Source organism: Homo sapiens, chromosome 5, assembly GCF_000001405.40.
Source record: "Homo sapiens chromosome 5, GRCh38.p14 Primary Assembly".
NCBI lineage: Eukaryota > Metazoa > Chordata > Mammalia > Primates > Hominidae > Homo > Homo sapiens.
Window position 1 is genome coordinate 107,797,296 of NC_000005.10, and position 14,772 is coordinate 107,812,067.

The following is a 14,772-nucleotide window of genomic DNA, read 5'->3' on the forward strand; positions in this document are numbered from 1 at the left end:
GACCACAGGTACTGATAGTCCCTTAGGTCCCAAGTACCACTGGGACATAAGCAGACAACAAAGTTCAAAGCTCATCTGTCTACACAAATAGTCTCTTTGGATTTTCTCTGTAGGCACCTGTCTCTCTCCCTCAGTCCCTCTTGTCCCCTCTCACAAAACTGGTATGATGAGAGTAGCCAGACCTCTTCCAATGTGTGAAGACAATTGCTTCTCTCTCATTCTCCCTGTAGAGAGCCCAGTGGGTCCAACACGGGGTCCAGGTATCAGGACATAGGGAGTGGGTGGCAGACCCCACATGCTCTAGACTTTAGGGAGAATTTCACTCTCTCTTGCTCTTGTGTTTATTATTTTCTGCCCTTTATTGCCTTCTGACTGGTACAGCTTGTGGGGCCAACACTAGTATGAGCTTGTGTGTAACAGACTTAAGCCATAGACCTTGAGCCTAAGGGACAAAAGCCACTTGAGATCCAGTCCAGCTCTCCGAAGCCAGGGACCTTAAGGAGGTCTCTGGGCCCAAATTTCTCAAGTCAGGAAATGTCCGTTTGTTTAGAATTTCTTTTGTGAACCTGTAGTATCTATAAAGAAAGAGTCAAAGAGTTGGTGACCAAGGGTCATCTCTCTACATAAGAGCCTCATGGACCTCAACTAAGAGTGCTTAGTAAATGAGACATATTTTGAAAGTCATAATTCCTGAACTCCTTAGGAAAAGACAAGGGAAGACTCACCGTGCTCTTCTCCTCTCTTGCTATGAATCTTGAGGATGCAACAACAGGGTCTACCTCACTCAAGTGTACAGTTCAACCTCAACTGTATGCTCTTTTCCTTGGCCCTTACCAAAATCATCCCACACGTGATGAGATTTGAAATTCCAACTCTTCCATTCCAAAATGAGAAAGAAGACTTCAAATGCCAACTGTAGAAAACAAGCCCTTTGGCAGCACTGGTCCTATGAATGTCCCAGGATAGCAGAGAAGGCAGAGATCATGAGACAAAGTATCCAGGTGAGTTTCTGACCATCTTTCCTCACACAATGAGAAGCAAGCAATATCATTGTCAGGCCGGATTCATAGGAGAAAATGTTCACAAAAGTTTTATAACATATCCTCATCTCTTCCTACTTCCCATCCTTCTATCACCATGGCAACCCACATTTTATAAAGGCAGGAGACAAGATTTGTGAATCTTAGCTCCTTGACTTTCAGACCTCTTTAACATTAAGTTTTTCTCAGTACTTTTCAAGAACATAAGTTACCTAACTTGTATATTGCAGGGGAGAGGATTCCTAGGGAGGAATGTGGGAAATACCAGAGAACTTCTAAAAGGTTATCCAGATGTAGCAGGAGAGTAATCATGCTAATGGCTGATCATTTAAATCTATTTCACCAAGGGAAGAAGATGTCAGGCTCCCAACTAAGACAGCATGGGGAAATGTTTACCACACATCTGAGGTCACTCCCAACCTGTTTGAATGTTAGAACTTCTTATCATTAAAATTTTTCCTGGAGTGCTTATTGTTATAGATAAATAGATTCATCTGGGAGAAATGACATACATACTCCAATTCTCACTAAGGTAGAAATGACTGACTCCAGATCACTCCTGAGGACAGTTTTAAATAAAGGAAGGGGGGGACAACAGATAAACACTATGGAGAAAAGAAAATCAACCGACTAGAAAAGTTAGTAAGCAATAGGTACAGAAAACGCCACAGAATGGATTTAAATAGTTTGCTTTTGGACGTATGAATTAAACTTGAAATGGAGATTTTAAAGATGGTCTTTGCCCTCACAAAGGAGCTTACACAGTGAGTTGATAGAGATTTATTTATTTATTTTAGATTTTATTTATTTATTTTAGCTTTTATTCATTTGTTTATTTATTTTAGAGACAGGGTCTTTCTGTGTTGCCCAGGCTGGTCTTGAACTTCTGGCCTTAAGTGATTCTCCCATCTTGGCCTCCCAAAGAGCTAGGATTACAGGCTTGACCCACCACGCTAGCCTATGAGTTTTAAAATCTAATGCATATCCTGATTCTGGGTGAAATAACGAGCTCAAATGGCTCTCAGGATTAAATCATCTCTGGTGTGAGGTGAGTCCAGTCAATATGGTTCCCAGATGCCCCTCAACAAGCTCTAATTTGAGCCAGGTGCCTGGGCGTGATCAACTCACTGTCCTTGACTTAGTCTGAGCTGTTGCCCCAGTGACACGTCCACTGTTCTAAGCGCAAAGAGGAAGCAGTCAATGCATTACTGTCAATGATAATAGCAGCCCTGCAGAGGTCTGGCCGTGAATGGCTCTAGTGCTAGCTCATCGCTCTTGCATGGAGCCACATTTGTGGCAGCCCACAGCCAAAAAAACCTGATCTTTTCCTTGACTTTTTGGAAATCTGAGGAGCGTTAAAAACCTCAGGGTGCAAATGATAAAATGCACTCTTTACCCATGTAAATGTTTTGAGGCTCCAACTTCTGAGAGATCTAATTCATTGACACAAAGCACAATATCTCAACAAGGAGGGATATTTTGCTTCTATCAGAGAGCGATTTCTTTGGATCTCCTACCGTTCTCAGACAATAACAGCCAAAACAGAGAAACAGGAAGACAAGATCAGTCACTTTAGAAATCAAAAAGTTATTGAGTGGAGGGTGAGGAGGGGTAAGACAGCAAACATATGGAAGAGCTTTCGGTTATGGAGGAAGGAAGCCAAACTCAGGGGCCATTATTTCAATTTTCTTTAGTTTTCAGCCTTAAGAAATGCCCAGGAAATACTTTATGCTAATTCTCATTTTTTAAAAGCTGGAAAATCTTTCAAAACTAGAGGAAAGTAAATGTGGCTTAGAACTATGTTTTTCCCCTGTTCTTCGAAGTAAGCTGCATGTTTATTCTATACAGAATTTAACTAGTTCAAATCAGTTACATGAGTAACAATTTCACTAAAATAATGAGAATATATTTGCTGTGTAGAAATCTTCATGAAGTGAAATAGTGAATGACAGCATTTTATAGAACACTAGGTACATTAATTTGAGAACATTCTGGAAACACAGAAGATAATGTCTATTAACAAGAACATTCTGGGCTTTTGTTAATTTTCATGGTGCTTCTTGGCCTATTTTCACCCCTTTTTTCAGTAGCATTCTCTGTAGAGAAGCAACTTCTCTGACAAAAATAAACAGACCAGAATTTAAAGCAACTCTTATTTTCATAAGCCTCACATAGTTTTTGACTGATATTTCAATAAACATAATCTAAAATTGTATAGGGATAAACATCCTCATGTAACATTGTTTAAATAAAAATTTTTGTACTCCTTTGCAAAGATATTAATTCATATTCACAGCTACCAATGTGAAAATTGCACTATTTCTGTTATGAGATAATTTTAATCACTTAAGATACATGAGGTATTGAGTGCTTTCTTTGATCTCAAGGAAAGCCAATCAGAGTAGCACAGAGCAGAAAATAATCTCAGGCAAACAGAACCCACGATCTCTTCATGCACAAGTGCAAGTTTATGAGTGTATGTATATTTGTGCACAGATATCTGGTGAGAGCAGGGTACATTTCAGAGCAAGTTTTAATTGTCTCATAATGTCACTTTGAAAACAAAATGTGATTAAAGGTGAAAATTTGAGTAATTTTATCTTAGTAATATCTCTACCTTTAAGTTCAGTAATAGCACTACCTTTTCATACAGTGTTTCTTGCTACAACATGATTCTAACATAGCTTTCTTCTTAAAATGTATGTTATCAAAATTAAGTTACCTATTACTTACACATTTATCAGGTATGCACAAAAAATCATATAATTAGTCACAATCAAGAAAAAAATATATCATTATCATCAGTGGTAAGGAGAATTAGACCACTCATAGTCTCTTGGCTCTAAAATCTGTTGTACTTTCCCAAATCCTTGTGGTATCAGAGTAAGCCCTCTCGAGGCTCAGTAAATAACCACATCAATTCCTAGAAAGAGCCTCAGTGGAGTGGGTGCTGGAGCAATGGGAGCCTGAGTGCTGGTAGTGAAGGATCCCATTAAGCACTGGCCTGAAAAGACCAATGGGAAGTTAAGAGACAGCTCATCAACGGAGCCCATATTTGGGATCTGGATTATTTAAAAAGATGAATAAGGGATCAGCATTTAAAAATCAGTAGATATTTACCTAAAAATCAGAAGTTCTGGCTCCTCTTACAAAATTGGACAACCTGATCACACAGGGCATGCATTCTTGCCCAGAAATGCTAGGCTGCAACAGAGGAGCCCTGCCCCTTTAGAGAGGAGCAGTCTTCAGTCTATAGTGTACGTCCCTCACATCTTTCCTGTCTCACTCACTTGTGTTACCTTCCTGACAATGGTAGACATTTGAATTGTCTCCATCCTCAGAAAGTGCACAGCCCAAACCACTAATTTGGGCATGAATATATGAAATAGCCTAACGAACTACCTGATGATAGAAACTAGGATGTACCTCAATGTCCTTCAGCTGGAAAAACTCTACCCAGCCTTAGGTGTCCTCATCTCCCAGAAGGCTTCCCTGCCCCTCTGAAGACAAGTCTGGTGTCCTCATACCCCTAGGGCCCTATATGATTCTTTATCATTGTGCTTGTCATGTCACAATACAATAATCTCTGAATGTGCTTGCCACCCACAGGTTCGTATATATCTCTTACCCTGTGCCAGGTCCTACAAGGATGCTAGGATACATATAATATATTTCCAAAAGACATTAAAATATAATAGATGAAAAATGAAAAGAGCCATTTTCAAGTTTAATTAAGAAGATTAAGAAGGACTTATTGGAGAAATCGACATCTGAAATATTTTGTGAAGGTTTTTACAGGAAAGATGAGCCTGGGATTTGTTCCAGGAGGAAGAGACAAACACTGGAAGAGCATGTAGGGATCAATGAGTTTATAGGGTGTGTCTAAAGCACAGGGGAAGACCATCAATACAAGGCTGAGGAGTGGACACTTGGTTGAATAAATGGCAGGAGCCCTGTGGAGGTCTTTGAACTGCAGAGTGACTTGATCAGTGCTGGCTATGGTGGCACATGTGGCAGGAGGAATTGGAGAGGTGAGACATAATGTGAAAAGGAACCAGCATTTCCTGGTGTGTCAGGCCTTTGGTATGGCTTTTAATCTATGATTTCATCTTATCTTCACAGCTCTATGAACAGGTTGCTAGGATTCTCATTTAAGTTACAGAGGAGAAAGATCAGACACAGTTGGTTACGTAAATTGCTATGCTTTCTATATCTGTATCTGTCACATTTTGCCTAATAAGGGTTTGTTGTAGGGTATAGACAAAGATGAACAAATAGATGAATGAATGAATGGATTGGTGGATGGATGGATGGAAGCAGTGTTGAATCAGCTCTGCCTGATGCTAAACTCATGTTCTTAGCCTTCTGCTGATTGGAAGATGTTTCAATAGGCCAGAACAGGCTCAGTAAAGGCCTAAACTGGGGCTGTGGTACTGAGAGTGGACAGAGGGGCCAGCAAGAAAGATGCTAGAGAGAGAGAGAGACCATAGACTAAAGATCTTGCACTGCTCATCTCTAAAGGAGGAAGGGCTCTTTTGTTCCACCCTAGCGTTTCCATATGGGAATGTGTGCCCTGTGTGACCAGAATGCCCAATTTTGTAAGAGGAGCCAGGAATTCTGATTTTTAGGTAAAATCTACTGATTTTTAAATGCTTATCCCTTAATTACCTTTTTAAAAATTGCAGATTGCAAATATGGGCTCAGCTGGACCCATGGGCATCGGTTGATGTGCTCTCTCTTAATGAATGAAATCCTGTCTCGAGTGATCAACTATCTAAATTTGCCTCAGACTAAGGAGTTTCTGGGATCACAGCCTCTTAGTGGTAATACTGAGATTGTTTGTCCCCTTAACTAGGAGCCCAGAGGAAAGTGTCACACATCCCAAGGTAGGGAAGGAGAAATGCTGGAAAACCCTTCAGGAAAGGAATAATGCTGTAACTGGGTGGCAGTGGTCCTAAAACTATAGCAGCCACCAGAATCCCCTGGAGAGCTTATTGAAACAGAGTGCTGGGACCACAGCCCGAGTTTCTGACTCAGTAGGTACGGGGTGGGAGCCAATAATTTTCATTTCTAACAGGTGCTACTGGCACTGCCAAGTCCAGAATCAAACTTTGAGAGCCACTGCTTTCCAGTTTGCAAAGAACTTCTGCAGGCCTCAACCCATTTGCAGCTTACGGGGTGGGCTGGGACTGGGAAGGTCTGAGAGCGACTGCTGGCCCATGGAGCTGTATGGTCTCAGACCAGGGAAGAAGTAGAAATGGGTGTCAGACAAGATGCTGCTTTGGGATCCATTCTCTGGGAATTTATCTGTACTTCTTTGTCAATACCACCCCAAGGCTCTAATTCTCCACCTATCCTTGTACCCACAGAGAGTTTTATGCAGAGTGAACCCTACCCTGATGCTCCAACATCTGAAATCAATCCCTTCTATCTAGACAGAATCATGAAAGAATTATGAAAGACCTGTCATTTCCTGCCACCTTGCTTATCCTATGATCCTAAGCAAAGGTTTCTATTTCCTAGAATTGGTTTTCTAGAAGTTGCTCTGTTCTGGTGTTTATAGAGATGCCTGTCTATACAAGAAGAGTTGTCTGTTTGTAATTAGCAATTTCCCAAAAGCACCCCTGGTTTTTATCTGGCAGTCTCTGGATTAAGCCAGAGGTTGCTTGCATCAGCTTTTATGCTTAAGAATTGAGGATGCCAGTTGGATATAGACTATCAACTTTTACAAAAGAGATTAGGGAAGAAAAGCTTATTTTAATGTATTCTTTATACTCTACAAAGTACTTTCATAGGTCATGTCTCACTTAATCCTTATAAAAATCCTCTGAGTCCTTTCTACATTTTACCAATGAAGAAGTTACAGTGATGTGTCCTAGGGTTGCCATCTGAGAAGCAATTGAGTTAGGACACATCCTCACTTCTGCACTGCTGTCTGTCTTTACCAATCACAAAGGCACAAAGTCTGGCTGCATCCTTTCATACATACATGATGAAACATACATGATTATTTCATATGAGTGCCAAACCCAATCCTAGCCATCCCTTCCAACTCACAGCCCCACAGTGAATGCCCCCTTCTTAAACTACTTTGTGTCATGGATTTCATATGTACGTGTCTATTTTCTCCAATTAGATGGTAAGTCCTCACAGACAGTTTTACATTCCTTCCACTCTCCCCAAAACCTTAGAACAACACTTTATAAATACCAGGAACACAGTGAGCATGCGCTCAACATTAAAAGACTATTAAATAAGAACTTTGCCTTCTTGGAGATCTATACATACCAAATAGAGTGAGATAAATTTTAGTTTCCTATTGCTGTAACAAGTGACCACAAAATTACTGGCTTAAAACAACACAAATTTATTCTACAGTTCTGGAGGTCAGAGTCTGAAAGGGTTTCATGGGACTAAAATCAAGACATTGGCAGGATTACATTCCTTATGGAGGCTCTAGGGAATAATACCTTTCTTTTCCTTTTCTAGCTTCTAGAGGCTGCCCACATCCTCTGCTTTGTAGCCTCCTTCCTCCATCTTCAAAGCCAGCAACAGAGGGTGAGACTTGACATTGCATCACTCTGACCTTCTCTTCTGCCTTTTTCTTTTGCTTTTAATGACCCTGTGATTACATTGGGCCTACCTGGATAATCCACGATAAATTCAGCTGATTAGCAATCTTTTTTTTTTTTTTTTTTTGAGATGGGGTCTCGCTCTGTCTCCAAGGCTGGAGTGCAGTGGCGCAATCTCAGCTCACTGCAACCTCTGCCTTGAGCAATCTTAATTACATCTGCAACCTTCACTCCTCTTTACTATGTAACATAACAGATCTCCAGGTGTCTTCGTCCACTTGCATTGCTAGAAAGGAATGCCTGAGACTAGGTCATTTATAAAGAAAAGAGGTTCATTTGGCTCACAGTTCTGTGGGCTGTACAAGAAGCATAGTGTCAACATCTGCTTCTGGCAGGACCTTAGGAAGCTTACAATTACGCAGAATAGGAAGGAGGAGTTGGCATATCACATGGCAAGAGCGGGAGCAAGAGAAAGGGGGAGGTGCCTGGCTCTTTTTAACAATCAGCCATTGTGTGAACTAATAGAGCAAGAACTCACTGATTACCTCGGGGAGGGCAGCACGCCATTCATGAGGTATCCTTCCCCACGACACAAATGCATCCCACTAGGCCCACCTCCAACATTGGGGGTCACATTTCAACATGAGAATTGAAGGGAACAAATATCCAAATTATATGAACAGGTTTCAGGGATTAGTAAGAGGACACCTTGGGGGGAGGGGCTTATTTTGTCTTCCACAGTGAAACAGAGAGTAAAAGTGAAAAAAGGGACACAGAAATTTGTAAAATTCACATTAACATTATTCACCAAAAGCACCTGCCACCACTACCTACTATTTGAGCACTATGAGAGATCTGAGTCTGTGTTCAGGGCCTTATATAGCTTTTGGGTATATAATCCACACATCAATCTAGTAGCATTAGTATTAGCCCCATTTTCAGATTAGCAGAGGCAAAGAGAAATTATGTAACTTGCTTACGATTCATAGAAGTGCTAAGTAACAGATCCAGGACGGTGCAGTCCTCTTCATACTGCCTGGCCCCGCCTCCTGGAGCCCATCTGAACTCCACTCTGCTGGCTGCCATGGTGTTGCATTTTCATAGGTCCTCTTTTCTGTAACTCTCAGTCCAGATCCTGCTTAACTAGATAAAGAGAGTTAGGGTAAAATGAGACCTGGCAAAACCCTCCAGCAGGTAATTCTTAGGGGATTTGTTTTTCCTCTTATTCTTGTTGTTCAAGGAGACAGATGATAATTAAAATGTCAGAGCCCTTCATGCTTCCCTGATCAAGATAACTACTTTGCCACAGGTGATAGAAAGAAAAGGAGGAAAATGTGTGCTCTCGGGGGTGGGGGGTAGGTAATGATTCTGATAAGGGGCAAAGCTGGGGAAACTGAGCCCCCTCAGCTCAAGAGAGAGCTCATTGCAGCTCCAGCTGCACCAGGGCGAATGCTCACCCACAGGCTCTTCAGGGAGCTTCCCACCTCATCCCTCCTCCCCAAACCTCCATCCCTACCAGCTCTCTGGGAACCTATTCCCAGAGGATCCATCCAACAGCTTGCTAATTCTATCCAATCTCTCCAATTCAGTTAATTCCCAGTTTCAGTAACAGAAGCAGCAGCTGTCACGATCAGCAGCTGTGTTCTTTGTCTCTATAGTTCTACCTCTCCCCCCTTCCCTCACCAAGTTAACAGAGTGGATCGCACACAACTTTCTAGGGGAGAAAGACAATAAACGTCCTCGATAGATTGAGAGAAGAAAGGAGGAATGAATTTGTATGAGCATGAAAGTGTCAGGTGGACTGGAGACAATGGAGAAAATTCTTCCCCAATCTCCAAGTCCCAATTTAACATTAAACAACCTCCTCAACAGCCATGTGCTCTCTAGAAGTTAATTCTTCTCAGACTCATGATGGCAGAGAACTAGTTTTTTAAATTCCAATCTGTTGTGGACTTAGTTTACAGTTCTACTCTGGATGACTAGTGTGTAAACTCACACCACATATGACTCACCCTCAAGTGCAACAATACCTGGATTGGCCTACCCCTTGCTCCAGAGCCACATGCGTGGATGTCAGGGGAATGTCAAGTTACTGGAAAAGTTTTACACATTTTTATTTTTGTATTTATCTCAATTGACTAAGTAGCACTGTCCCAGAGGCTCATTGAGAAAGTGTGATTAGCACAAAGATTTAAGGTATGTGAACCTTGTGAATTTTTGGAGGAAAAGTATTTTAGGCAGAGGAAACAGCTAGAACAAGGGCAAGAGCCAGGGTGGCTGGATCTCAGGGAGTGAGGGGATAATTAAAGATAAAATCTCACCCGTAAGAGAGGGCAGTAAGTCATGTTGGGCCCTGTAAGACTGTTAAAGATTTTGCCGTTTTTTCCCTCTGAGTAAAATGGGGTGCATTGTAGGGTTTTGAGCAGAGTGGCAGGATCTAGTTACAGCATTAGGGGGCCAAGGATAGAGGCAGGGAGACCCATCAGCTGCTGCAGTCATTTGGGCAAGAGATAAGAGAGGTTCAGGCCAGGATATCAATGCTGGAGGATGTACAAGAGGTCCCAAACCGGGTCTATTTTGAAGATAGAGGATGGATAGGGTTTAAGAGAAAGAGAGCAGTCAGGGATAGTGCCATGGTTTTGGCCTGAGCAACAAAAAGGGTGGAGTTGTCAGTGCTGAGCTGGGGAATGCAGCACGTGAGGGAATATGAGGAGTTTAATTTTTGACACAGTGAGATTGAAATATCCAATAGACCTCCAAACAGAGATGATAGATGCAGAGCGGCAGTTGGATATACAAGTCTGGAGTGTGGGAGAGACGTCTGGGCTGGAAATATAAATGAGACTGTTGTCAGTATTTAAAGCCATAGGATTCAGTGAGATCACCAAGGGAGTAAATTTAGAGAAGAGGGCACGCTAAAATGAAGAGATCAGGGAGAAAAGGAAGAACCAGCGAGGGGAAGGTAGGATGGAAACCAAGGAAGTGTGGTGCCCTGATAGCCAAGAGAAGAATGTGTGTGAAGCAGGGATTCAGGTGAATTCCCTAGCTTCACTTTCTGCATCAGCTAAATGGGAATATTAATTCTTCATGTGAGGTTGCTGTGAGGATTATAAATGAGTTAACCCATTTAATAAATACATACTAAGTGTAGTGATTGTACTAGGTACTTGAATTTGAGTAGCATACAATTCTCTACCTTAAATAGGAGGTTACAAATTTGCAAAACATCTAAGCCCAGTGCCTGACCCCAGAAGGGGCTCAATAGATACTTTTTTGCTAGAATAAATAATTGCCTCTGTGTGGCCTGTATAGATCCACACTCTCCTCTGCTTCTTGAGACCAATTAAAATATTTAGTGCTCATTAGTTGGAATGGATAAGCAAGGGAATCTTTCCTTTCCCCACCACTCCAACCATTTCATGCTAATGCTCTGTTGCTCCATAGAATGTGTGGATTTCTTCCTTGGTTAGGGAATATGAAGGGTCCACTTGGGAACTTAGTAACGAGGCTTACCTGGTCTAATCTGAGAGCCTTCAGGGCCTGAGGCCACCCTGGGGAAGCCAGCAGCCCAATCACACCACATACACAACTGTCCCAACTCTCCCAGCGTTGAGGTGAAATAAGGCAAAGAGCAGTTTCCAGAAGGGGAAAGAAATCAAGGAAGGGCAGCCTCAAGTGTGCAGCCTGGAGGCCAGGCCCACTGCTTTCCCTGTGGCCCATGGACAGGATTTAGTGTTCATTGCATGTGTGCTCCCAGAGTGTGCACATGGGTTTATGTAAGTAGGTAAGACTTACTGTTTTATTTTCCCACAAGCCAACCAGACACCTCCTTCACCTGGTTCACTTTGAGTCTTCCAGCAGCCCAGGGCTTGGAACAGTGCCGCCTCCTCCTCCCTTCCCCACTTTTTCTCCAATCCTCCTGTCTACAGGCTAGGTCTGACACCAGAGCTACAGAGCCGGGTAACCAAGGTAACCAAAAGCCCTGGAGTCCAGGGGGCCTCCCTAAGGACCGCCCAAATGCCACAGGCTCCATGCAGTCAGGTGGAGCAGCTCTCCCTGCTGTGTCCTCTCTCCCCCGACATTGCCCCGCCCATCTGGGCTGCTGCTGAGGGAGGCTCCTCGGGGCCTGCTGTTTTCTTCATGACTATGGGTGACACGGCACAGGTGGTCCAGTTTCTCTCACAGTGCCTTTGCTTTGATCTACAAAAATCTGCTGAGTTTCTTTTGGGCCTTGTCATGTTAACAAAAACAAATGTAATAATATGCACTTGAAAAGGCTCGCATGTCTTGATATTTTAATAAGCTTTTGATTCTACAGGGACCTCTGAGGCTTTAAAAGTTTAAAGTTAATAAAGAGAGTAAAAGAAAAAAATATGAATTGTTTTTAATTATTATTATGCAGGATTAACCAAGCCAGTTGTGTATAATTAGACAGTAGCTACCTTGCAACGTAGAGGCAGTAAATAGGCCCACAGGGGGGCTGCCAGAAGGCTGAGGTGTTTACAAGGCACTGGAGATGTTTTCACCAAGCACATAATCCCTGTTGCAGTTACTATTGCTTTTATAATGGATGTGTTCATTACAACCAGAGACTAATATGTGTATCCATCATCTTTCTAGCACAGATGACTCCAAAGTGGGGGATGGCAGTGAAGATTGTACGATATACTTTGGTGGTAAAATCATTAAGAGAGCCCATTTGTATGCAGCTTTTTTTGTGTGTGGTTTTATTTTTGTTGCCATTGCTGGGAGGAATTTTAAGAAGTTAAATAAACAATTGCCAAAGGAGTGATGATTAAGATATTGCTAAGAAAGTTTTGTTTCTTTTAATACCTCCAGCAGTGAAAGCAATGAGCCAGGAGTTCCAGGGCTTTGTTATGAACCAGCGTGTGATCTTAGGGAATTCATTCACTAATTCAACATTTATTGAGTGCTACCATATGCCAGGCATTGTCCTAGGTGCTGGGGATAAAATGATGTGCAAGGAGCACTGGGCCCTTCTTCCCATATGTTCTCAAACCAGGACATTCCTCATGATCACCTGGGAAGCTTTTCAAAATGCTCTCACTGAGACCCCAGCCAGGCCTTAGTAGAGCTGCATAGCATCTTCAGGGCACCACTCGAGCATGTGAATTTTGAGAAAGTGTTTCAGTGATTCTGGCGGTTTCTCATTGTAGTGGGAGGGAGTTATAAATAAACAATAAAATACGGTAAGTGCTATTAAAGGGAAGATGTGACTGCTCTGAGCTTCCATTTCTCTATTTTTGTAAAGGAGGCAATAATTCCTGTCCTGTATATCTATCTTAGGTCACAGATTCTGAAAAGGAGAGTATAGGAAATTTGCTAGGGAGTGCTCTCAGATAAACCATTGTTGGGGTGAAATGGGCCAGTCATTGGCTGCCCCCAGGAGAAGATGTGTCTTGGGGCAAGTAGTAGTGACCAACCTTAGGCCAATTCCTGGAGAGTGGGTCAGCTGATAGCTGCCAGTCACCACCTTCACCCAACTCCCAGAAGCTGAGGAATGAGGATGGGAATGAGAACGTCTGTCCTGAAGGAGGAGGGTGCAGGTGGCATGTCACAGCACCACCAGAGCATCCTGCAGAAATAGACATAAGAATTCACATCGGGAAGTACTGAAAAAGATAAGAAGTCACTTGTTTTCTATTATTAACCCATAAATAAATTTGCTCATGACAATGGTTTTCTTTATTCATATTTGATGTAAGAATAATCTGGCTGCAACGTCTGTCACTCCATGCTTACCAGCATTGATTGAGCTCAGCTTGCTGGCTGGGCTAGAACCCTATTTTTGCCCCAAAGCTACTTGTATGTCACCTCCCAAGCCTGCACACTTGAGCCGAGAGGGCACATTGCCAGGGAGAGGATATCTGATTTTTGATAAGAGACGTAAGTGAGGCTAGCTCTCCTACTACACATTTTAAACAAGTTGGCAGGTTCCACTTGTCATCGAACTGCAACTACTAAGAATGTGGTAGTTCTTTTATTTACATTTGTTCAGTATTTTTTTGACTGTCCTACTCAAGGGTGAGTTGCTGGAGCTATGTTATCTCTTCCTCATCCAAACTCATTGGAGTAGGGAATAAATAGGTGGTTTTTAAACAACAGCAAAAGGAGTGCAAGTGAGAAGATACTACCATGGGGAAGAAAAACGTTATTGAAAATTGGGTAAAATATTGGGGTCCTCCTCCATTGTCTTGGCTGTATACAAATTACACTTCATCCTTAAATCATGTTCATCCATGTTCCTGATTTTGTTAAACAATCGGGATGAGAAGCGCCAATTAAGTTTTTCATTTTACATTTATGTAAAGAGCCATCTCTCATCAAGCTGCTCCATCTCTCGGCATGTTCAAGAATATTTTAAACAACAAGAAATGCTCCATACAGCTTCACTGGAGCCTGTAACTCCCTGTTCTGGAAATTGAAAGCAGCAAAACAGTTTGCTGGGGGATAGTAGGGCTGAAACACAAATAGTTAGAGCTAGGGGTCAATACTTGGAACTCAAGAATGCTGGTAATGAGCCTGATGGCAAGTTGGAAATGGGTTTTCAATACGATCACTTGACAAACATGATTTTTACGACTTTGAGCTTCAACCACAGGCCATGTTATTGGACAGACATGTGAATAGGTAAATGTCTAACTACTATTTCTGTATTTCTATAATATTCTTCCCTTTGGGGCCATCAGGACAATCTACCAGGTCTAGGAATCAGACTACTTTCTGAATCTGAAAGGGGGCTGATGGCAGCTACCAGGATTTGGGAACTAGGAAGAACGAATAATGACAAAACAGTTTAAGAAAAGATGAAAGAACTACTTTGGAGCAGAATTGGCTAGAAGAAATGTTAATGGCCTGCCTTCATGGTGTTGTACAGAAAATGAAATACTGAGAAGCCACAAAGAGAGCCCATCCCTGTGGTATAACTGTGAGGCATAATAGGAGGAATTTAAAAAGAAAAACTTGAGACAGGCATTAGGAAACAGACAGAACTTCCATATTCCCAGAAAGAAGGTGAGCACATTGAAGGCATTTAAAAACTGAGGTTGAATTAAACTCTAGGAAATATTTTCTCTTGTCGGCAACAATTCTCTGCTGGCCCAGTGGGACAGAGTACATCATCTAACGAGACATTTTTA

General features: G+C 42.1%; 1 pseudogene, besides 4 other annotated features; it reads left to right on the forward strand.

Annotated features, from left to right (window-relative positions):
- Positions 2,172–2,231: a silencer, noted in NCBI's record as "silent region_16217". NCBI's record gives its function as "represses an Ori minimal core promoter by ATAC-STARR-seq in GM12878 lymphoblastoid cells {active_cell/tissue: GM12878}" and the evidence as "EXISTENCE:reporter gene assay evidence [ECO:0000049][PMID:35858748]".
- Positions 11,237–11,758: an enhancer, noted in NCBI's record as "NANOG-H3K27ac-H3K4me1 hESC enhancer chr5:107144233-107144754 (GRCh37/hg19 assembly coordinates)". NCBI's record gives its function as "activates a minimal SCP1, AML or CMV promoter by ChIP-STARR-seq in naive H9 embryonic stem cells {active_cell/tissue: H9 hESC(naive)}" and the evidence as "EXISTENCE:reporter gene assay evidence [ECO:0000049][PMID:30033119]".
- Positions 11,759–12,281: an enhancer, noted in NCBI's record as "OCT4-NANOG-H3K4me1 hESC enhancer chr5:107144755-107145277 (GRCh37/hg19 assembly coordinates)". NCBI's record gives its function as "activates a minimal SCP1, AML or CMV promoter by ChIP-STARR-seq in naive H9 embryonic stem cells {active_cell/tissue: H9 hESC(naive)}" and the evidence as "EXISTENCE:reporter gene assay evidence [ECO:0000049][PMID:30033119]".
- Positions 12,282–12,803: an enhancer, noted in NCBI's record as "OCT4-NANOG hESC enhancer chr5:107145278-107145799 (GRCh37/hg19 assembly coordinates)". NCBI's record gives its function as "activates a minimal SCP1, AML or CMV promoter by ChIP-STARR-seq in naive H9 embryonic stem cells {active_cell/tissue: H9 hESC(naive)}" and the evidence as "EXISTENCE:reporter gene assay evidence [ECO:0000049][PMID:30033119]".
- On the forward strand, positions 13,334–13,629 carry RN7SKP122 (RN7SK pseudogene 122; annotated as a pseudogene).